This window comes from Homo sapiens, chromosome 1 (assembly GCF_000001405.40).
Source record: "Homo sapiens chromosome 1, GRCh38.p14 Primary Assembly".
Taxonomy (NCBI): Eukaryota; Metazoa; Chordata; class Mammalia; order Primates; family Hominidae; genus Homo; species Homo sapiens.
Genome location: NC_000001.11, coordinates 27779960 through 27803979, shown reverse-complemented (window position 1 = coordinate 27803979; position 24020 = coordinate 27779960). Strand labels below are relative to the sequence as shown.

The window sequence follows — 24020 nt, the reverse complement described above, 5'->3', positions numbered from 1 at the left end:
GCCCAGGCTGGAGCACAGGGGCACAATCTCAGCTCACTGCAACCTCTGTCTCCCTGGTTCAAGCGATTCTCCTGCCTCAGCCTCCAGAGTAGCTGGGATTACAGGCACGCGCTACCACGCCCAGCTAATTTTGTATTTTTAGTAGAGACAGGGTTTCACCATGTTGGCCAGGCTGGTCTTGAACTCCTGACCTCGTGATCTGCCCACCTTGGCCTCCCAAAGTGCTGGGATTACAGGTGTGAGCCACCACGCCTGGCCGAATTCTTTATATATTCTAAATGCTAGTCCTTTGCTATTAAATATATATAGCAATGTCTTCTCCCTGTGACTAGTCTTTTCACATCTTTACCACTTTTTTTGTTCTTCATTTCTTTCTGCTTTTCAGACTTTCCATCTGAGATCACTTTCCTTCCATCTGAAATACATTATTTAGAATTTCCTTCAATAAGATGTGCTGACAGAAAACTCTCTTTTGATTGAAAATGTCTTTAATTAGCCCTCATTCTGACATATATTTTCACTGGGTTTAGAATCCTAGGTAGGCAGTTATTGTCCTTCATCAACATTCAAGATAGCACTCTACTGGCTTCCACTGTTGTTGAGAAGTCAACTGTCAATCTAACTATTGTATCTTTGAAGGTATTCTAATGTTTCTCTAGCTATCTTTATGATTTTTCTCTTTGTCTCTGGTCTGAAGTTTGTCTTTGATGTATCTAGATTAGAGATTTTATTTATCCTGCTTGGGATTTGTTAGGCTTCTTGAAACTGCAGGCTAGTGTTTTTAATCAGTTCTAGAATATTATCACTCATTATTTCTTCAAATATCACCTCTGTTCTATGTTTGCCCTATTCTCACTCTATAACTCCAGTTAAAACTACGTTAGATCTTTTCTCTCCATTCTCCATTTTTCATAATCTTTCTTCCGTATTTAACCTCTTAACCCCCTATGCTACATGCTGGATAATATATTCTAACCAATTTTTTAGTTAAACCACCCATCCACTAAGTTTTTAAATTTCTATATTATATCTTTCCATTTTAGAAATTCTTTTGACACTTTTTCAAATCTTTGTGTAGTTTCCTGCAGAGGTTTTCAGCCTTTTATGTCTTTAAACACAATAAGTATAGTTGTCTTATAATTCTAATATAAAAAGTCTTTGTAGGTATATTTCACTTCATTGTTGTTTCTACTAATTCTTGTTCAGAGTAATTTGTTTCTTTGCACACATGGTTATTTTTAGTGACTGGTACTTACTGCCCTAGAAAAATTATTTGAGAGTATTATTTCAGGGCTAGGATAAAGGTGTCTTTCTACAGAAGGAATTTGTGTTTGCTTCTATCCCACACATAGGTGGCTCTCCCAGTCCAGGACCACTGAACCATTCAGGTAGGATGAATTTGAGCAGAAAATCTGCCTGAAGAAGGTTACTTTGTGGTAACCTTGTCTAGATTTCTCCTCCCTCCTGCCCTCCTCCTCCATCTGCTCAGTTCAGTGCTAATGCAATCTTTCTGTAATCTGCCGGGGGATAGAAGAGCTTACTTTTGACTTAATGTTCTAAGGATATAGTCTCTTAGGGCCCAGTTTAATTTGAGTTGTACCTTCTTTTATATTCTCTCTCTTGCATGGACCTTTGGCTTTGACTTTTATCCTCCCCATGCCATGAGGATATCAAAACTGAAGTTCAAGTTTGCCTTCAGTAAAGACATTCAATGCAAAAGCAGTTTCAGTATTCTGCTGACCTCTCAGGCTTTACCTTAATATTTTCATAATCTTTGATACTTTTGAGAAGTTGGATTTTTAAAATCCAGTATTTGAAAATCCTTTTCAAAAACAGAGGGCTAGTCCAAATAAACTAGCCTGTTATATTCCAGGAAACAGATTCATTATTTTTATTTTCAAGTTTTTAACGTTAAAACCAATATATCAAAATGAAAAAGAAAATTAGACATAGTTCTTCCTCCTATATCTCTTAACCTTCATTCAGATTCCTTTCTAGGCTTTGATCACATGCATATATGTTTTTTACATAGGTTACACCAACCTGCCATTTTCACAGCAGCTAACTTACATGTTTATTGGTCAAAGAGAAAAAGAAAAAAACCCACAAACTTGGAAAAGAACATTCTGATATTGCAAAGGTCTTCTTTTGGGAATCAACTTACAGAAAGACGAGATCCAGCTCTTGCTCTGGCAATACTCTCCTTTTCCTTTTCAGATACCCTTCTCTGCACAGCCTGGAAATTGTTTAAGGCTGCAGAGAAGTCATTCATGAGGCGTTCCTTCTGAAGTCTCTGCTGGCGCTAAGGAAATCAAGCAAGAACTTGAGATTTCATATTAACCCAGAATCATTTGGTTTTAATTTCCCTTAAAAGTAAAATTATACCCCTTAAAGATTTCCAACTAGGAAAATTATTATGAAATAGTCTCTTCTTTAAATTAATAAATTTGCTCTTTGCTAGCTCAAGTCCCTGGTTAATACTATAGACCAAGTCAGAATTTTTCTTCTTTCATTCTGACAAACCTGGAACTGGGTTGCATTTAACTTCTTCTTCTTTTTTTTTTTTTCTTTTTATTGAGACGGAGTCTTGCTCTGTCGCCCAGGCTGGAGCGCAGTGGCATGATCTCAGCTCACTGCCAACCTCTGCCGCCCGTGTTCAAGCGATTCTTGTGCCTCAGCCTCCTGAGGAGCTGGGATTACAGGCACCCACCACCATACCTGGCTAATTTTTTATTGTATTTTTAGTACAGATGGGGTTTCGCCATGTTGGCCGGGCTATTGTAGAACTCCTCACCTCAGGTGATCTGCCCGCCTCGGCCTCCCAAAGTGCTGGGATTACAGGCGTGAGTCACTGTGCCCAGCCTGTATTTAACTTCTAAAGTAATCTCCAAAGAACTGCAATTCAGAATTTTGGTGCCCTGGAGAATATAAAAGAGAATAAATACCTCTGGACTCCAGTTGAATCCAAACAGAGATGGGTTTTAGCTAAAATGTTAAAACCCTATTCATCTATATTGAATTCACAGCTTCCCTGTAAACTATAGAAGCATTTCACAGGCTTTTAGTGGTTTAAAATCTTTGAGACTTGGTAAGTACTTCATTTATCTACAGACTACCTCTACTAAGCTTGTTACTTCTATGTCTCAAAAAACATATGCTGAGGTTGAGCACAGTGGCTTATGCCTATAGTCCTAGTATTTTGGGAGGCTGAGGCAGGAGGATCACTTGAGCCTAGGAGTTCAAGACCAGCCTGAGCAACATGACAAAATCCTATCTCTACAAAAAATAAAAAAATTAGCCGGGCGTGGTGGTACACATCAGCTACTCAGAGGCTGGGGCAGGAGGATCATTTGACCCTGGAAGGTTGAGGCTGCAGTGAGTTGAAATCATGCCATGTACTCCAGCCTCAGCAATAGAGTGAAACTCTGTCTGAAAAAACAAAACAAAACACACACACACACACACACACACACACACACACACACACACACCACATACTGACAGCATTGTCCTGTTCTATGAACACAGAAGTAAAAACTCACCCCTGACCTCAAACAGCTGTCTATTTGTAAATAAAGGATATAGACAGACAAGTAACAAAGTTATTATAAATAACTGCTATATCCAATTGGTACTACAGGAGTTCAGAGGGCAGGAATAATCAGTAAGAACTCAAGCGGCCAAGAAAGGCCTCAAGAGAAGGTGGACAGTGAAGTAAGAGGAAGGCATGAATAAGCAGAAAGAAGGGGTAAGGCAAATCCAAGCAAGAGAATAGTGTGAGCAAAGGCATGGTGGCAGAACTTGAAGAGGATCTCTAGACAGACTGTTTGGTTGGAACTACACGTTTAGTAATGAGAGTAGCTAAAATACAAAATTGGAAAGTTAAGAAAGGGGCCAACCACAGCAGGTTTTAAATGCCAAGCTAGGCCGGGCGCAGTAGCGCATGCCTGTAATCCCAGCACTTTGGAAGGCAAGGTGGGTGGATCACTTGAGGGCAGGAATTATTCAAGACCGTCCTGGCCAACATGGTGAAACCCCATCACTACTAAAAATAGAAAAAATTACCTAGACATGGTGGCAGGCACCTGTAATCCCAGCTACTTGAGAGGCTGAGGCAGGAGAATTGCTTGAACCAGGAGGTGGAGGTTGCAGTGAGCTGAGATCGTGCCATTGCACTCCAGCCTGGGCAACACATGTGAAACTCCGTCTCAAAAAACAAAACAAAACGCCAAGCTATTGGGAGGATGAGGCAGGCAGATCACGAGGCCAGGAGATGGAGACCATCTGGCTAACATGGTGAAACCATGTCTCTACTAAAAATACAAAAAATTAGCCAGGCGTGGTGGCGTGCGCCTGTAGTCCTTTGCCACTTGGGAGGCTGAGGCAGGAGAACTGCTTAAACCTGGAAGGTGGAGGTTGCAGTGAGCTGAGATCGCGCCACTGCACTCCAGACTGAGCAAAAGAGCCAGGTTCTGTCTCAAAAAAAAAAACAAAAAAAAAAACAAGCTAATGAGTTTGGGGTTCAACCTCTAAAGAACAAAGAGCAATGAAGATTTTTGAGCAAGAAACATCATGGGTACAAAATAGTAACTTAGAAAAATTAGTCTGTGATGAGACCTGGGTCACCGTTTACACAAAGGTGGAATGGAAAAAAGAAACAAGTCAAACAGAACACTAATTCAATAGTCTAGGTTTAAGGTTAGGAGGACACAGTATCAGTAATAAAATCATAAAGAAATGAATTTAAGAAACATTTTGACTGGTGGTGGGGAAAGAGAGATAAAGTCAAGAATGACTGAAATTTCAAACCTGGAAGAGTGATGGTAATACTAAAAGCAAATTTAGATGAGCAACCCTTTTCTTCTGAGATTTTTATTTTTGCATAAACAAAATTATAACAATAACGGGGAGGACATCATTCCCTAACCTTACCGTGCAAAAATATTATCATAACTTTTAAATACATCATAAACATTTTCCATGTTACCATACTCTTCACAATTATGTTTTTGTTTTTTTTTTTTTTGAGACAGGGTCTTGCTCTGTCACCCAAGCTGGGGTGCAGTGGTGTGATCTCAGCTCACTGCAGCCCCAACCTCCCAGACTCAAATGATCCTCTCACCTCAGCCACCTGAGTAGCTGGGACTACAGATGTGTACCACGATGCCTGGCTAATTTTTTTTTTTTTTTTTTTTTTTTGAGACGGAGTCTCGCTCTGTCGTCCAGTCTGGAGTGCAGTGGCACGAGTTTTTTTTTTTTTCTTTTTTTGAGATGGAGTCTCGCTCTGTCACCCAGGCTGCAGTGCAGTGGCGCGATTTTTTTTTTTTTTTTTTTTGAGAGGGAGTCTCGCTCTGTCACCCCGGCTGGAGTGCAATGGCACAATCTCAGCTCACTGCAACCTCCGCCTCCTGGGTTCAAGCAATTCTCCTGCCTCAGTCTCCCGAGTAGTTGGGATTATAGGTGGCCACCATCACGCCTGGCTAATTTTTGTATTTTTAGTAGAGATGGGGTTTTGCCATGTTGGTCAGGCTGGTCTCAAACTCCTGACCTCAGGTGATCCGCCCACCTCGGCCTCCCAAAGTGCTGGGATTATAGGCATGAGCCACCGTGCCTGGCTAATTTTTGTAGAGATGTTGCCCGGGCTGGGTCTCAAACTCCTGTACTCAAGCAATCCACCCGCCTCAGCCTCCCAAAGTTCTGGGATTACAGGTGTGAACCACTGTGCCCGGCCATGATCTTTAATCGCTTACATATATTCCATCAAGTTGACCTAAATTTTATGTAAATAATCCTTCTAGATTTTTCACAGTTATTAAATATTATAAAGTAAGCCCCAATGTAATGGCTAATATTTATATAGTGCTTAAATTGTACCAGTACTACTGTAAGTGCTTTACATAATAATTCATTTATCTATACAATGACCTATAAATTAGGCATTATTATAGTCCCAACTTTACACATCAGAAAACCAAAGCACCACAGAGGCTATGTAATTTGCCCAGGATCACACAGTAAGTGACAAAGATGGATTTAAATCCAGGAAATTTGGCTCCAGAGTATATAGACTCTGTGTGTGTGTGTGTGTGTGTGTGTGTGTGTGTTTACCTTCAGAATTTTTTTTCCCCTTAGGGCTAATTAGCATGAGTGAGAATATTAGGTCAAAAGGCACAAACTTTTCTGTGATGTTAAGTATTGTCAATGAACTTAGTTAAGGGGTTTGGGAGAAACATGAGAAACTCAGTATAAGACAAGTTTTATATGAAGGTAGTTTATTTCAGGAGGAGATGTCAGAACATGAATTGAAGATATGGGCCACGCACTTAGAGGTGAAGGGGTTAGATTGGAAAAAGATCTGAGGTCATGATCATAAAGGTGAAAGGGAGGTCATAAAAGCAGGTGACTCCTAAGGAGAAAGCATACAGTGAAATAATTCGAGGATCAATGGCACAACCTTGGGGCATGCCCACTCTTAGGAGGATATGAAGTCCGGGAAGGAGGCTGACTCAACCTGGGGATCTCCAGAGTTGGGGGACACAATGAAAGAGAATCATGGCAAGAAGAAAGTTTCAGGGCAGACGGGATAGGCAAGAGGATCAAAGGAAACAGAAAAAAAGTGAATAGGCCAGGCATGGTAGCTCACACCTGCAATCCCAGAACTTTGGAAGGCCGAGGCAGGCGGATCACTTGAGGTCAGGAATTCAAGACCAACCTGGCCAACGTGGCAAAACCCTGTCTCTGCTAATAATACAAAAATTAGCGTGGTGGTGTGCGTCTGTAGTCCCTGCTACTTGGGAGTCTGAGGCAGGAGAATTGCTCGAACCTGGGAGACAAAGGTTGCAGTGAGCCTTTGCTCACTGGAGTGCAGATCATGCCACTGATCTGGTTGGAGTGCAGATCACGCCACTGCACTCCAGCCTGGGTGACACAGTGAAACTGTGTCTCAAAAAAAAAAAGTGAATAAAAACTCTTTATGGCCAGGTGCGGTGGCTCATGCCTGTAATCCCAGCACTTTGGGAGGCCAAGGCTGGCAGATCACCTGAGGTCGGGAGTTCAAGACCAGCCTGACCAACATGGAGAAACCCCATCTCTACTAAAAATACAAAATTAGCTGGGCATGGTGGCACATGCCTATAATCCCAGCTACTCGGGAGGCTGAGGCAGGAGAATTGCTTGAACCTGGGAGGTGGAAGTTGTGGTGAGCCGAGATTGCACCATTTGCGCAGTCCAGCCTGGGCAACAAGAGCGAAACTCTGTCCCAAAAAAAAAAAAAAAACTCTTTACAAAGGGCCTGGTATGGCAGTTCATGCCTGTAATTCCAGCACTTTGGGAGGCTGAGGAGAGAGGATTGCTTGAGCCCAGGAGTTTGAGACCAGCCTGGGCAACATAGCAAGACTCTGTCTCTATAAAACATTTAAAAAGTAGCTTGGTGTGGTGGCACATGCCTGTGGTCCTAGCTACTCGAGAAGCTAAGGTGGGAGGATCACTTGAGCCTGGGAGGTTGAGGCTACAGTGATACAGCGAGCCACGACTGCGCCACTCCACTGCGCCTCAGCCCGGATAACTGAGTGAGACCCTGTCTCAAACAAACGAACAAAAAACCTCAAAAGCCACTGGACTGGGTAACTAGATCATTGATGATAGTATATAAGTATGGAAAAAAACTGAAAGTAGGAGTATGGTTTGATGTATAAGATAGTAATGAAAAGACGGGTGATGGGGCTAAGATTAATTAGATGAGAAAAGAGTAGAAAGACAAAAGGATACAGAGCATAACAAGAGGAGGGGAATCAAGGAATTATATTTCACCAGAGAGAGTATGTTTGTAGATCTAGTTCGTGTTCTTAATGATCCAAGATAATGGAAAGGAACAACAGCATGCATAATCCAAAAATAACTTCTATTTGGTTTTAGAAGATGTTTGATGAATTTTGTTTTGGTAGCAGATTTGATTTTCTATTTATATTTTGCTTAGGCTACTACTTAACTCTTAAATACTTTCACTACTCTGCATTAGACCCTTCAACTCCTTTTTTGTTACTATGAAAACTGTCTACAAGTGTGTATTCCCTAAGTGCATGGTTAGGAGGAAGAAATGGGTAACTTGGCAGCAGTTTGGAGATATTGGATGGCAAGGGGGAAATGGCCCATAACTGAAACATCAGCATGAGTAATAATTAGAATAAACAGCCCGTATATAGACAACCAAAGGGTAACTACTTTGTAGCAGGATGACAAAGCATCTTGTCCTCCTCTCTCTTCTGCAAGTGGGGGCCAAAACTCCAGATATGCTACATGGAACAGTTTATCAGGTTAAACTAGTGATTTTCAATTTTTTTTTGACAGAGATTTACAATAAGAATTTGACAACATGGGCCAGGTGTGGTGGCTCAGGCCTGTAATCCCAGCACTTTGGGAGGTCTAGCTGGGCAGATCACCTGAGGTCAGGAGTTTGAAACCAGCCTGGCCAACATGGCAAAACCCCATCTCTACTAAAAATACAAAAATTAGCCGAGCGTGGTAGTGGGTGCCTGCAATCCCAGCAACTTGGGAAGCTGAGGCAGGAGAATCGCTTGAACCTGGGAGGCGGAGGTTGCAGTAAGCCAAGATTATCCCACTGCACTCCAGCCTGGGCGACAGAGCAAGACTCTGTCTCAAATTAAAAAAAAAAAAGAATTTGACATCATGATCCATCCATACATACACATATGTATGTATGAAACAACAGTTCCATATAACAATATTTACCATTATTACATAATATAGACTCTGATACTTCTACTCTAAGTTTTTTAAAATGCTGATCTCAATACACTAAAATGACTTCATGTTCCACTAGCCACAACCCATACTTTGAAAAACAACCCACGACAGGGAAGTTGAAAGGCTTTGTCTTCAGAGCCATCAGATATAGGACATTATCATTTAAAACGTTCAATCATAAAAAACGATATAAAGGTCAGGCACAGTGGCTCATGTCTATAATCCCAGTACTTTGCAAGGCCAAGAAAGGAGGATCACTTGAGCCCAGGAGTTTGAGACTAGCCTGGAAAACATAGCAAGACCTCATCTCTACAAAAAATTTAAAAATTTAGCTGCGTGTGGTGGTGCGCACTTGTGGTTCCAGCTACTCAGGAGGCTGAGTTGGGAGGATCCCTTGAGCCCAGGAGTTCAAGGTTGCAGTGAGCTATGATTGCCACTGCACTCAGCCTGGGTGACAGAGTAATACCCTATCTCAAAAATAAAATAAAATTTAAAAAGCAATACAAGTTAAGTGCCCCCACGAATGGTATAGAAGCTAAAAGCAAAACAGGATCATAATAGGAAGGTAGACGGAGAAAGTTTTTTTTACTGGAGACCTGAGGTAGATCATGAATGACAAGTCAAGCCACAATGAAGGAGGGGCACATCTGACTTCAGGAATGTGGCATATTAAGGGAACAATGAATCTCAGTAAAAATTGTGTGTTTCTAAAGGATTTAAATGGCCACTGAAGAAAATGACTTGAAAAGAGAACCCTTTTTCCCTGAGCAGTTCCTTAACCTGAGTGAGACCTGTGAATAACTCATGACAGAACATGAAGGTAACTGCAAAACATGAAAGAAAGATGTTTCATTAAAATGTAAAGATAATGGATACAAAACAAACTAGGAACCCTGGGCATGGGGCTCACGCCTGTAATCCCAACACTTTGGGAGGCTGAGGTGGGAGGATTGCTTGAAGTCACAAGTTCAATACCAGCATGGGAAACAAAGCAAGACCATGTCTGTACAAAAAAATTGTTAAAATTAGCTGGGTGTGGTGGCACATGCCTGTAGTTGCAGCTACTCAGGAGGCTGAGGGGAGGGGACTGCTTGAGCCCAGAAGTGGGAGGCTGCAGTGAGCTATGATTTCAACACTGCGCTCTACCGTAGGTGACAGAGGGAGACCCTGTCTCCAAAACGACAACAACAATAAAAATAATAATAATTAAAAAAAAAAAAAACTAGGAGAAAGGAGGAAGCCTACAAACATAAAACTGCTAGCCAAACCCCAAAGAGATGCAAATGTTGAGATTTCTCTTCAGTTAACTCCATTTTATTAATATATTAATAATGTTAATAATAGCAGCAGCCACCACATATTGATTACCTACCAGACGCAGACACTTTGCCACATCTGGTGTGTACATTCTTTCTATTGCCCCAACAGTCACATATCCCCCACTTGATGGATAAGAAACTGAGGTGCAGAGGAGGTCTATCTATCTAGCACCAAAGGCCAACTTATTTTTTTTTTGTTCTACACACTGCCTTTCTACTAACACAAAGTCCTTTCCTATTAATAAACAAAACAGAAAATACCAACCTGTTCTGAAGTAGATAAGGGAAGGGGCAAGGACCCTAATTCTTTCAGCAATTCATTTGTTTCCTTGGCGAGCTGATTTGTGGAGTGTTGTAACTGTTGCCTAAGAGAGAAAAGATATGTTTCAGGATGTTGTCACTTCTTGAGAGGGTTATACACAGAACCACTTTGTTCTCAGAGTGTCTCATAACGTAGGGAATGAAGGGCCATTTGAAGAAATGAGTCCCTAGATGCCCAGGTTCACAACAAAATTCCAGAAATATTACCCAGGCAAACCCACTTCAAGGTATCTTCACTGAGCAGAAAGAATCTGCTTCAATAGCCTGCTGAAGAAAGCACAGATCGGGAATTTTAACTCTTTGGGAAGAGAAGAAAAGCATATCAGCAGTTCTGATAAAAATATAAAAAGAACAATTGCCGCCCACACCTAAATCAAGTAGTTTAAACATACTGAACTCTCTTATTGTCCAGGAGTTGACTGCCACAGTCCACTGACTAGAATCTAGGCACAGACAGTTAGATGAAATGTGCATTAAAAGCGTAGCTTCCTACCTACCCTAGGGAACAACCTCCAAACATCTAATCCCATGCTCTTGCTTTAAAAAGCTGGCTCTTTTCTAGCCTTATCCTTGGCTTCCTACCTGCTCTTTATACCTGAGTTTCTGGCTCTTCCCTCCAAAACAAAGAAGCCTTACCTGTTAAAAATACAAAAGGAGTAGGGAGGAAGGGGAATTGAAGAGGAAAGAATATGTAGTATATTAAGTGGAACTTAAAGTAGTAGAAATACAAAAAGTACTCTTTTCATTTGTGGTTTCCTCTACTATCCAGCCATTTCTACAAAGGCTTTCTGAGACGACAGTGAAACCACATGCTATGATCTGAATGTTAGTGTCCCTGCAAAATTCATATGTTGAAATCCTAATTCCCGAGGTGATAATATTAGGAGATGGGGTCCTTTGGAGGGTGATTAGATCATGGAAATAAAGTTGTTGTTTATAAACTACTCAGTTTATGGTATTTTGTTATAGTAGCCCAAATGGGCTAACACACCACACTAATTATTAATGGTTTTTCTGTACTGCAAATGGGCCTCCAGGATTTAAAAAAAAGGAGTCAAAAGCAAGAGGTACCCAATCAGTGGCTTGAACATCCCAGGCAGTAGAAAATATCCAGAGATATTTCACATTTCCCTGGAAAAAGCTCACAATAATAGTCATTCTCTTACCTCACACTGTCTAGGGTAGGAAACAAAAAATATTGCTTGATATATATATACATATATATGTATCTACATATATATAGATACATATATATGTATCTACATATATATAGATACATATATATGTATCTACATATATATAGATACATATATATGTATCTACATATATATAGATACATATATATGTATATACATATATATAGATACATATATATGTATATACATATATAGATACATATATATGTATATACATATATAGATACACATATATAGATATATACATATATAGATATATATTATATATTTATATACTATATATTTTATATTTATATACTATATTTATATTTTATATATATTATAGATATATTTATATACTATATTTATATTTTATATATATTTATATACTATATTTATATTATATATATATATTTTTTGAGATGGAGTCTTGCTCTGTCGCCAGGCCGGAGTGCTGTGGCGCGATCTTGGCTCACTCCAACCTTCGCCTCCCGGGTTCAAGTGATTCTCCTGCCTCAGCCTCCCAAGCAGCTGTGACTACAGGCGCAAGCCACCACGCACAGCTAATTTTTGTATTTTATTTTTTTGAGACAGAGTCTTGCTCTGTCACCTAGGCTGGAGTGCAGTGATGTGATCTCAGCTCACTGCAACCTCCGCCTCCCAGGTTCAAGCGATTCCCCTGCCTCAGCCTCCCAAGTAGCTGGGACTACAGGCACGTGCCACCACGCCTGGCTAATTTTTTGTATTTTTAGTAGAGACAGGGTTTCACCGTGTTAGCCAGGATGGTCTCGATCTCCTGACCTCGTGACCCACCCACCTCGGCCTCCCAGAGTGCTGGGATTACAGGCGTGAGCCACTGCTCCCGGCTTGCTCAGAACATTTTAAAGATGAAGAATAGCACTAAAAGCAGAAATGGAGCAGAAAAGGATGTGATAAAAAGAATCAGGAGTCCCTACTATCAGTCTACTATTCTCTCCCTCAGGCTCCCCTTGGGCCATTCTGATTACATATGCAGTAGTCCCTCAGTATCCACGGGGGATTGGTTCCAGGCCTCCTGCCAAGTCCTTAATATAAAATTGTGTAACATTTGCCTAGAACCTATGCATATCCTTCCATATACTTTATTTATTTATTTATTTTGAGACGGAGTTTCGCTCTTGTCACCCAGGCTGGAGTGCAATGGCACAATCTCAGCTCACTGCAACCTCCGCCTCCCAGGTTCAAGTGATTCTCCTACCTCAGCCTCCCAAGTAGCCGGGATTACAGGCACGCGCCACCATGCCCAGCTAATTTTTGTATTTTTAGTAGAGATGGAGTTTCACCATGTTGGTCAGGCTGGTCTTGAACTCCCGACCTCGGGTGATCTGCCCACCTCAGCCTCCCAAAGCGCTGGGATTACAGGTGTGAGCCACCACACCCGGCCCATATACTTTATTTTTTATTTTTATTTTTATTTTTTTGAGACAGAGTTTCACTCTTGTTGCCTAGGCTGGAGTGCAATGGTGCGATCTTGGCTCACCGCAACCTCCGCCTCCTGGGTTCAAGCTATTTTCCTGCCTCAGCCTCCTGAGTAGCTGGGATTACAGGTGCCTGCCACACATCCAGCTGATTTTTGTATTATTAGTAGAGACAGGGTTTCATCATGTTGGCCAGGCTGGTCTTGAACTCCTGACCTCAGGTGATCTGCCCGCCTCAGCCTCCCAAAGTGCTGGGATTACAGGCATGAGTCACTGCACCCAGCACCCCCTTCCATATACTTTAAATCATCTCTAGATTACATTACTTAATACTTAGAGGTGAAGCCAGCTGGACTTCTGGGTTGGGTGAGGACTCTGAGAAATTTTCTGTCTCACAGGAGGATTGTAAAATGCACCAATCAGCACTCTGTAGCTAGGATTGTAAAATGCACCAATCAGCAATCTGTGGCTAGCTAGAGGTTTGTAAAATGGACCAATCAGTGCTCTGTAAAATGGACCAATCAGCAGGACATGGGTGGGGACAAATAAGGGAATAAAAGCTGGCCACGCCAGCCAGCAGCAGCAACCTGCTCAGATCCTCTTCCACGCTGTGGAAGCTTTGTTGTTTTGCTCTTCACAGTAAATCTTGCTGCTGCTCACTCTTTGGGTCCGCACCACCTTAAAGAGCTGTAACACTCACCACGAAGGTCCACGGCTTCATTGTTGAAGTCAGCAAGACCAAGAACCCACCAGAAGGAACTAACTCCAGACACAATACAATGTAAATACTATGTAAATAATTGTTCTACTATATTGTTTCAGTAATGACAAGGAAAAAAGTCTGTACATCTTCAGTAGAGACCTTCCTTTTTTTTTCTGAATATTTTCTATCTGTGGTTGGTTGAACCCACAGGTGCAGAACCTATGGATATGGAAGGCTGACTGTAGCTGGAAATCCAGTTAGACTAGATCATGAGGAGTCCTACGCCAACAAGGAAGCTCATTTAGGCAGAGTTGTGAGCAGAATATAGTTTAATAGTGGTACGAATTCCCTTTTCTACTTCCCTAAATTGTTCTGCTAAACTGCCCAAGAGGAGAAAGAACCAGAGTTCAAAGACTTTGAAAGGCAACGGAAATTACAATCCATTAATATACTTTGTTGCCCCGCCCCTCTTTTAGATCCAGCTCTTATCTCATGACCCACTGCCTCTCATTCTGACTTCCCAGACCTGAAACCTAAGCTGCTGTCTGGCAAGGACACTGTGTCCTCAAATGGCCCTCACAAAACCCAACCTTGTCAGGAAGTTACTCACAGATTTTCCTGTAGCTTGCTTGAGTCCTGCTTAGTTCCTAGCTGGCTCATCAAATTCTTTATCTGAGCAGCTGGGGAGATAGGAAGAAAAAGATTTATTTAAAAGAAAAATACATTCATCATGAGTACCCTACTTCTAAGATTCCTGGTCTCTTCCCATTCAGAATAAGTATTAATACATGCAACTAATAGAGACCATGCTATGATCAAAACCTTGACACACACATTCCTCCAAAAACTAATTACAAGGTTCACCTTTCTCCTATAGAGTAACTGTGTCACAAAGTAGAAGGTGGTAGTTTTATCATCCCCCTAAAATTTGCTAGTTTTCCTAGATCTCCTATTGCAATGGTTAAAAATTTCAACACCTTTAGAAGGGCCTCTAGGCCAGATATCAATTTGCAACAATAAAAAAAAAATCAAGTCAAATACAATAATTTTTCTATAGCAAACATTTTTGGAAAGACAATGTATACTTATTACTAATAATGGGTTACCACCAATTGAGCACCTCTAAGTGCCAGGCACTATATACTAAGAGCTTTGTATACACTCTGTTATTAATTTTCACAACAGCAATCTCCAGTAGATGTACTTTTTTATTTATTTATTTTTTTTTTTTGAGATGGAGTCTCACTCTGTCACCCAGGCTGGAGTGCAGTGGCACGATCTCAGCTCACGCAAGCTCCGCCTCCTGGGTTCATGCCATTCTCCTGCCTCAGCCTCCTGAGTAGCTGGGACTACAGGCGCCTGCCACCACGCCCGATTAATTTTTTTGTATTATTAGTAGAGACGGGTTTTCACCATGTTAGCCAGGATGGTCTGGATTTCCTGACCTTGTGATCCACTCGCCTCGGCCTCCCAAAGTCCTGGGATTACAGTCGTGAGCCACCACGCCTGGCCTTAGTAGATATACTTCCATTTTGCAGGTAAGGAAGTGTATTTAGAGAGATTAAGTATCTTATACAAGCATACACAATTAATAAGTAGCAGAGCAAAAATTCAATGCCCAGTACATCAGATTCCAATGGCTATGTTCTTTCAACTGTGCTGTCTATACCATAATACAGTCAAACATATGGTTTTGTTCAGCCTTCTCTACCTTTTCCTAGATATTTGCTAAGACTAGGAATGGTCATGTTTGAATCCTGGATGTTTAACTCCTATCCTAGACCAAGAAAGCAGAGGTCCAGAGGAACTGATCATCTATCAATAAGGAGGAACACTCTAACGCCAGCCTGCCTGGGACTCTGAACACTCCTGTCCCTTACTGATTTCTGCAACAATAGAGCCCTTCATTTATTTTATGCCTTGCTTTCTATTTTCTTTTTCTGGTTACTGGGGAGGGTGGGGGAGATTTATTCATTCATAGAGGTTGGAAGTTAGTTATATGATTTCTTGTTTGCTTGCTTGTTTTCCAAGAGCATTCACTGTCTTCTATTACAAGTAGCTGGAGTACAGAACATATGAATAGAGTACTCATTGCCCAGAAGTAACACACTTACCATCAAGTTTCAACAGAACTTCAAGAAATCACATAACACAATAAGTATAAGGCTCTTCCAGCCATTCAGCTTTCTTTGTGAGAGCCCTTTCTATCCTCTCTGGATTAATGCCAGTTTCACTTGTGAAACACCAGCCTGCTAAATGACTAGTTCAGTGGAAGAAAATGAGGAGACCAATGTATATTGTATAATTTGTGAATATTATAGAAACAGTATACATATAATGCTCCCATGTCCAACAAGAAAGAACCTTCACTTATTAGAATTTTGAAATTTAAAAATTAATTGTTCCAAATTTACTTTTTGGTAATGGTACTCTTTAAAATAACAATATTTGGGGGACACAGTCATAATCTTGTCCCTAATTTGGTCACCAAGATCAGTAAAAAAGTAAGCTAAAATGTATTGAGTACCAGTTACCTTACAATACCAATGACATGCTAATAGTCCCTAAATCTTTTTTTTTTTTGATACAGAGTCTCACTCTGTCGGCCAGGCTGGAGTGCAGTGGCATGATCTCGGCTCACTGCAACCTCCGACTCCCAGGCTCAACCAATTCTCCTGCCTCAGCCTCCCGAGTAGCTGGGATTACAGGCGTGTGCCACCACGCCTGGCTAATTTTTGTATTTTTAGTAGAGATGGGGTTTCACCATGTTGGTCAGGCTGGTCTCAAACTCCTGACCTCAGGTAATCCACCCGCCTCGGCCTCCCAAAGTGCTGGGATTGCAGGGTTGAGCCACTGCACCCGGCCAGTAGTCCCTAAATCTGATAAGAAGCAACGATTAGGCAAAAATCTTCTAACTTATTGCTGGGTGCTTCTATTCCTAAACAGAAATGGAACAACTCAGTCCTTAGTAGTAAGTACACGTTATTTCTCCCTAGCCAAAATTACTGCATTGTTGGGGATACAAAGCAAACATTTCCCGAGTCAAGTATATATAGGCTGGTAGCACTTCAGATTATGATTTCATCTTATTTTGAGACCATATTTTCCTAACAAAAATGTGATTCCAGTTTTATAACAGAAATATAGGATTCACTTAATTCAAATTTTGCCTTTTGACAAGACTTCTCTAAAAGATATCTATTCTACTAAGTGAGGAACCACTATAGCTCAGTGGTTCCATGGTTCCAATTATAAGCACTATAATTACTGCATTCTGCTAAGATAGCATTATGTGTGACAACCACTTTTCTTCATCACTAACATGTGGTATGTCCTTCTTATCTAAGTCAAATGGGAATCAGGATACAACTAAAGCTATTAACTGGACAGCCATAAAAATAATTTATGAAAGAGGGCATGAATTTTCATTTACTGAGCATCTACTATGAGGTACTAGACACTGGGCTTGACAAGCATTAACTTATTTGACTCCAACAATCCTTTAAGTAAGTATTATTATTCCATTGTTGCATATGAGCACAATGAGGCTCCTGAGAGTTACAGAACTCATTCATTCATTCATTCATTCAGAGTAGAGTATCTACTCTACACTATTCCATGTCCTAGAAGACACTTGCCTTCGAGAGTCTTCTAAGGAAAAGAGATAGACAATAAACATATCAGGTAGTGAAAAATGGTATAAAGAGAAATAAATTCAGGTAAAAGCTGAGGTGACAGCGGTGGGCAGAGGATACTAGTTATACAGAGTGGTCAGAGTATAAAAAGAAATAAATTCAGTTAAGAGCTGAAGTGACAGTGGTGGGCAGAGGATACTAGTTATATAGAGTGGTCAGAGAGACCTCTCTGATAAGGTGACACTGAGCTGAGATCCAAAGTGAAAGATCAAGCCACACAGCTATCTTGGGGAGAAGCATTCTAGGAGAAGAGAGTAATCAGTACAAAGTCCCCAAAGCAAGGGTACTTGATGTGATGGAGGCCAGGGTGGCTAGAGCAGAGTGAGCAAGAGACAGCAGAGAGGTGGCCAAGGAGGTAGTAGGGACCCAGATTGTATAGGGCCTTGCAAACAATTATGAGGACTTTGAATTTTAATGAAGTGGGAAATCACTGGTAGGTTTTGAACAGAGTGTCATTACAACCAGAATTTAAACCCAGGGCTAACTGCAGTGGAATGTGCCACATTACAGTCTCTCAAAAGGCTGACTCTTACAGGAAAAAGAATGTAGTCACACAGGGCAGGCCTAGATTTCCCAGTGTTCCACTTAGCCCCACCCTACTTATCTGATACCTAAGTTAATAGGTCTCTGCTCCAGATAGGCTGATGTCCTTCCTCTAACCTGCTCCCTTCTCCAGCTCCCTGGCACCTATGGGAACACTCCTCTGTACTCACTAGAGTTCAGCAGAGTGCCAGGCACCCAGGTGATACATAATCAATTACTGATTAATTGAGTTAGCCTCCCTTTTCCATTCTGGCAAGCTCTTTGAGGCAGAAGATATGAATGAAGAATATAAGCTAGGAATAATGAGGCCTGAAATCTAAGCCAGACTTGACGACTAACTAGATGCAGGGCACTAAGCAAGTCATTTCATTTGACTGGGTCTCTTTTTCACCAATTATAGATGATATTCAGATTTCACTGACATTTACTGAATACTTAAACTATTTGTGTAAGGTTTTTATTTTATCTCATTAAATCCTTACAACTATGTAAGAACTAAATGATCTCTAAGTACTCCCACCACTGCTCAATTCCAAAATTCAATAACAGTGAAATAGCTCCAGTCAAAGAATTATGCTGTGTAACCAAGGAGTACTTTTGCAACCCGAAAGTTTGGCTTAGAAAGGTTCCACCTGTGACTTTCTTAACTTCATAAATGCAAGGTACAAACAGGACTGGACTGACTATATCCCTCTAGAAGGCAGGGACTGCATTCTACTCATTTTTGTGTATGTATAACTCCTCCCAACACACACACACCCATCCAGAAAATGGTTGAATATATGATAACATGTAAACGTAGATCTGACAAAAAAAGTCAAGGAAATAGGTCTTTTCTTATTGAGTGTCTTTAAAAAGTAGAGCATTCCTTAGAAACTTTAGAAGTATGCCAAAGTATCAAGTTATTAATCATCTATCAAAATTTATTAAATAAGCTACAGAGCTATGGGAATTTTATAGAATATGAAAAAATCAATTAATAATCAGCTGTTCTCTGCATATTCTCAGTGGAGAACTCTTCTTCATCTAGACTTTTCTGATTTCCTTTGTTGGGATGACCTAAATTTGGGGGGTGGAAAGATAGGGAGGGGTTGAGGAAGTGGGGGTGTTGGGAATATTATAGGGTCATTTGCTAGCTAAGCACCAGAATTAATCTAAGCCTTAACACTTTCTAAATTCCTAAATATTAAGATATTTTCTTTAAAGTTTCCAGCAAGACTCAGGTATCAGATACCCTAAAACTCAAATCATAAGGACAACAGTGTCGTAGTTTACTGGAACCCAGAGAAGCAGGACTTTTTGTATATTGCCCTCTATAATCACCAACATCAGGGATTTGTTCAAAACTAGTAACTCAATGACTCATGTATTTTACATCTAAGAGATGTATCTTTCAGTAAACCTAAAGCACACAAAGGAATAACGTGTTTACAGATACATTTATTTGCCCTTGAGCATACTTAAAATATCAAAAAGAAAAGTGAGGCCAGGCACAGTGGCTCACACCTACAATCCCAACAATTTGGGAGGCCAAGGTGGGCAGATCACTTGAGGTCAGGGGTTCAAGACCAGCCTGGGCAACATAGTGAAAACTGCCTCTACAAAAAATTTAAAAATTAGCCAAGCATGGTGGCGCATGCTTGTAGTCCTGGCTACTCAAGAGGCTGAGAGAAGAGGATCGCTCAAGCCCAGAAGTTTGAGGCTGCAGTGAGCTATGATCATGCCACTGCACTCCAGCCTAAGCAACAGAGCAAGACTCTGTCTCAAAATAAATAGACAAATGAATAAAAATTTAAAAAGTAAAGTGACACTTTTTTTTTTTTGAGACAGAGTTTCGCTCTTGTTGCCCAGGCTGGAGTGCAATGGTGTGATCTCAGCTCACCGCAACCTCTGCCTCCCAGGTTCAAGCGATTCTCCTGCCTCAGCCTCCCGAGTAGCTGAGATTATAGGCATGTGCCACCATGCCCGGCTAATTTTTTCTATTTTTAGTAGAGATGGGGTTTCTCCATGTTGGTCAGCCTGGTCTCAAACTCCCGACCTCAGATGATCTGCCTGCCTCAGCCTCCCAAAGTGCTGGGATTATAGGCATGAGCCACCACGCTTGGCCAAGTGATGCTTTTTGGAAATATTTTTACCAGGATGAGTTGAATCTTCTGGCTAACTTGGTTAATGAGAAAACTCCTTTTCCAAGCATTCTACTAAATGAAGGTTTTATGTTAGACTGATGTGCTACAACTTTTTGAAGGAAAATAATTGGGTATTTCCTATGAAATGTTACATAATCCTAGAAACCAGATGACTAGGCCAAAGGTAAAGACAAGTCCTTCAGTTCTGTGTAAGCAATTTTGTTCTTTTTAAAACTAGGACTCAGCTGGGCGTGGTGGCTCACACCTGTAATCCCAGCACTATGGTAGGCCAAGGTGGGTGGATCACCTGAGGTCAGGAGTTTTGAGACAAGGCTGGCCAACATGGAGAAACCCCATCTCTACTAAAAATACAAAAATTAGCCAGGCATGATGGCACATGCCTATAGTCTCAGCTACTCAGAAGGCTGAGGCAGAAGAATTGCTTGAACCCGGGAGCGGAGGTTGCAGTAAGCTGAGATCGTGCCACTGCACTCCAGCCTCGGCAACAGAGCGCGACTCCATCTCAAAAAAACAAAAACAAAAACAAAAAACAAACAACTAGGACTCAATTTCTCCTATCGCTGACCTCTCATTTTAAAAAAGCATATCCTGGCTAAAACTTTTAAAAGAGTATGAAGCAAATCAATTTGTTATACATTACAGCTAACATCCACACTAGGAACTACTCTAAACTGAAAATTCTTTTTGTACTTTAAGCTGATATCGGCAGAATCTGAATCTCCAAATGAACCTTCATCCAAAGCAAAGTCAAATCAAAGTCAAATTATATTGAAAGTAACTATCATCAGAGGTGGGAAAAAGATTTCTCTTCATTTGACAGGATCGAATGCTCTAAGTCAGTATTTTAAACAAATTCAACAACAAAAAAACATTATTTACACCAAATGAGAAAATGATAGCCTATGTGGTGATTATGAAAATGAAGTCATCTCAGTGTTTTACTCTGAAAATTAGGTTTACATTCTGTTTTTATATCACTACAATGAAAATTACCTTTTTTAAAAAATGTTTCATTTTTTTGAGACAGAGCTTTGCTCTCTTTGCCCAGGTTGGAGTGCAATGGCACGGTCTCAGCTCACTGCAACCTCCACCTCCTGGGTTCAAGTGATTCTCCTGTCTCAGCTTCCCAAGTAGCTGGGATTACAGGTGCCCACCACCATGCCGGGCTAATTTGTATATTTTTAGTAAACAGGGTTTCACCATGTTAGCGAGGCTGGTCTCGAACTCCTGACCTGAGGCGATCTGCCCACCCTGCCCTCCCAAAGTGCTGGAATTACAGGTGTGAGTCACCGTGTCCATCAACCTGACTTTAAAAAATAGCCACTGTACCATAACAGTAAAGTTCTAGACTAAAGTGAAAATGGATACTAAATATCAAAGGTATAATTTTCCTTTAACCATACCAGTTTCAGAATATGCAATGGTTAAGAGCATAGCTCTGAATTAAGACCGCCTATATGGCCAGGCATGGTGGTTCAAGTTTGTAACCCCAGCACTTTGGGAGGCCAAGGTGGGAGGATCACTTGAACCCAGGAGTTTGACACCAGCCTGGGCAACAAAGTGAGCCCGTCTCTACAAAAAATTAAAAAATTACTTGGACGTGGTGGTGCGTGCCTGTAGTCCTAGCTACTCGGAAGGTGGAGGTGGGGGGATCCCTTGAGTTCAAGGTTGCAGTGACCTATGACGGTACCACTGTACTACTGGCACATCCTGGGTGACAGAGCAAGACCCTTTCTCAAAACAACAAAAAACAAAAAACCACTGCTTATGCCTATGCTTGTCGTGGTCCCGCTACTTCCAAGCAAAGTGATCTTGAGTAAAAGGCTCCACTCCTCTATGCCTTAGTTTCTTTGCCTTAAAAATGAGAATAAGAGAATCTTCATATGGTTGTTGTGAGGATGAAATGAGATGATACGAAGCTAAATTTAGAACAATGGCACATAAAAGCACTCAATTAAAGATAGCTATTATTATCAAACTCAAGACCAAGAAAAATGTACTTAGCAGTAATAAAATCAATTAAGTACATATTGAATGCCAACTATATATGCATTGTTGTTCCAGGCACTGTGACTAAAGACAAATGTATAATGCATGGTCTCCACAAAACTAACAGTGATCTCTCTGCTTGGGGTGACAATATCAAAAAGCTTGAATTAATTAAAGAATATATAATATAAGTGCGTGCTAAACTGTGAGGGAAAATTGCTTGTATTATAAATTCAAAGGAAATACACCAAAATGAGAGCTAACATTTCTTAAGCACTTACTATGTAGCAGGGACTGTAGATGAATTATCTCATTTAATCATCACAACCCTATGAAATAGGTATTATTAACTCCATTTTAACAATAAGGAAACTGAGAAATAGGTAAAGCAATGTGTTTACACAGCTAGTAAGAAGCAGATCTAGGATTCAAATCCTGGCAATATGACTCCTGAGCCTGCCTACCTAACTATTAAACTATTGCAGGGCAAGGGATTCAACAAGTATTAATAATGTCACCACTGGGGCTGGTCGTGGTGGCTCACACCTATAATCCCAGCACTTTGGGAGGCTGCAGTGGGCAAATCGCCTGACGTCAGGAGTTCGAGACCAGCTTGGTCAACATGGTGAAACCCTGTCTCTACTAAAAATACAAAAATTAGCTGGGCGTGGTGGCATGAGCCTGTAATCCCAGCTACTCAGGAGGCTGAGGCATGAGAATTGCTTAACCCCGGGAGGCAGAGGTTGCAGTGAGCTGAGATTGCGCCACTGTACTCCAGCCTGAGTGACAGAGCAAGACTCCATCTCAAAATAATAAAAATAATAATAATGTCACCATTTATTGAACGCCTGCTATGTGCCAGGCAGGCAGTATACCAGACACTTTCAAACATCCCCCCTTTTTTTTTTTGAGACAGGGTCTCACTCTGTCACCCAGACTGGAGTGCAGTGACGTGATCTCGGCTCACTGCTACCTCTGCTTCCCAGGCTCAAGCGATCAGCGATTTGCCCATCTCAGCCTCCCAAGTAGCTGGGACTACAGGTGTGTGCCACCACACCCAGCTAATTTTTGTATTTTTGGTAGAGCCAGGGTTTCGCCAAGTTGCCCAGGCTGGTCTCAAATTTCTGAGCTCAAGAGATCCACTCGCCTCAGCCTCCCCAAGTGCTGGGATTACAGGTGTGAGCCACTGTGCCCAGCCTCAAACATCCCCTTTTAATAATTTCACTCATTTTATAAATGGGGTTACACACGGCAGGGAAAATAACCTGCTCGAGGTTAATACATGGAAGGGGAGGGATTCAGTCACAGATCTGCTGACCCCGGAGAGTCCATGATCTTTCTGACTTCACTTTGTCTTTCAAAAGCAAAGGAAGGCTGGGCGCCTGTAATCCCAGCACTCTGGGAGGGCAAGGCAGGCAGATCACCTGAGGTCAGGAGTTCAAGACCAGCCTGGCCAACATGGTGAAACCCTGTCTCTACTAAAAATACAAAAATTAGTCGGGCATGTGGTGCACGCCTGTAATCCCAGCTACTGGGGAGGCTGAGGCAGGAGAATTGCTTGAATCTGGGAGGCGGAAGTTGCAATGAGCCTGATCGCCCCACTGCACTCCAGCCTGGGAAACAGAGCAAGACTCCGTCTCAAAAAAAAAAAAAAAAAACAAGCAAAGAAAAACTTAATTGCTATCAGCAGGACTTATGCACAACTGAGAGGATTTGTATAATTTAGATAGCCAATGAGGTAGGGAGAGAAAAGATACTAAAAAAAGGAGGAACCAAAGGGCGGACGCAGTGACTCATGCTTGTAATCCCAGCACTTTGGGAGGCCAAGGCGGGCGGATCACCTGAGGTCAGGAGTTCAAGACTAGCCTGACCAACATGGAGAAACCCTGTGTCTACTAAAAATACAAA

The 24020-nt window shown here is 41.3% G+C and overlaps 1 protein-coding gene across 1 annotated transcript in view; it reads right to left on the bottom strand.

Annotated features, from left to right (window-relative positions):
• Nucleotides 1–24020, bottom strand: part of STX12 (syntaxin 12) — a 51225-nt gene that overhangs the window by 20464 nt on the left and 6741 nt on the right. Inside the window, exons 2-4 of the mRNA NM_177424.3 lie at nucleotides 14349–14418; nucleotides 10348–10447; nucleotides 2165–2302 (exon numbers count right to left, since the gene is read on the bottom strand). Coding sequence (NP_803173.1) covers nucleotides 2165–2302; nucleotides 10348–10447; nucleotides 14349–14418 — 308 coding nt within the window. The remainder of the gene's footprint in view (nucleotides 1–2164; nucleotides 2303–10347; nucleotides 10448–14348; nucleotides 14419–24020) is intronic.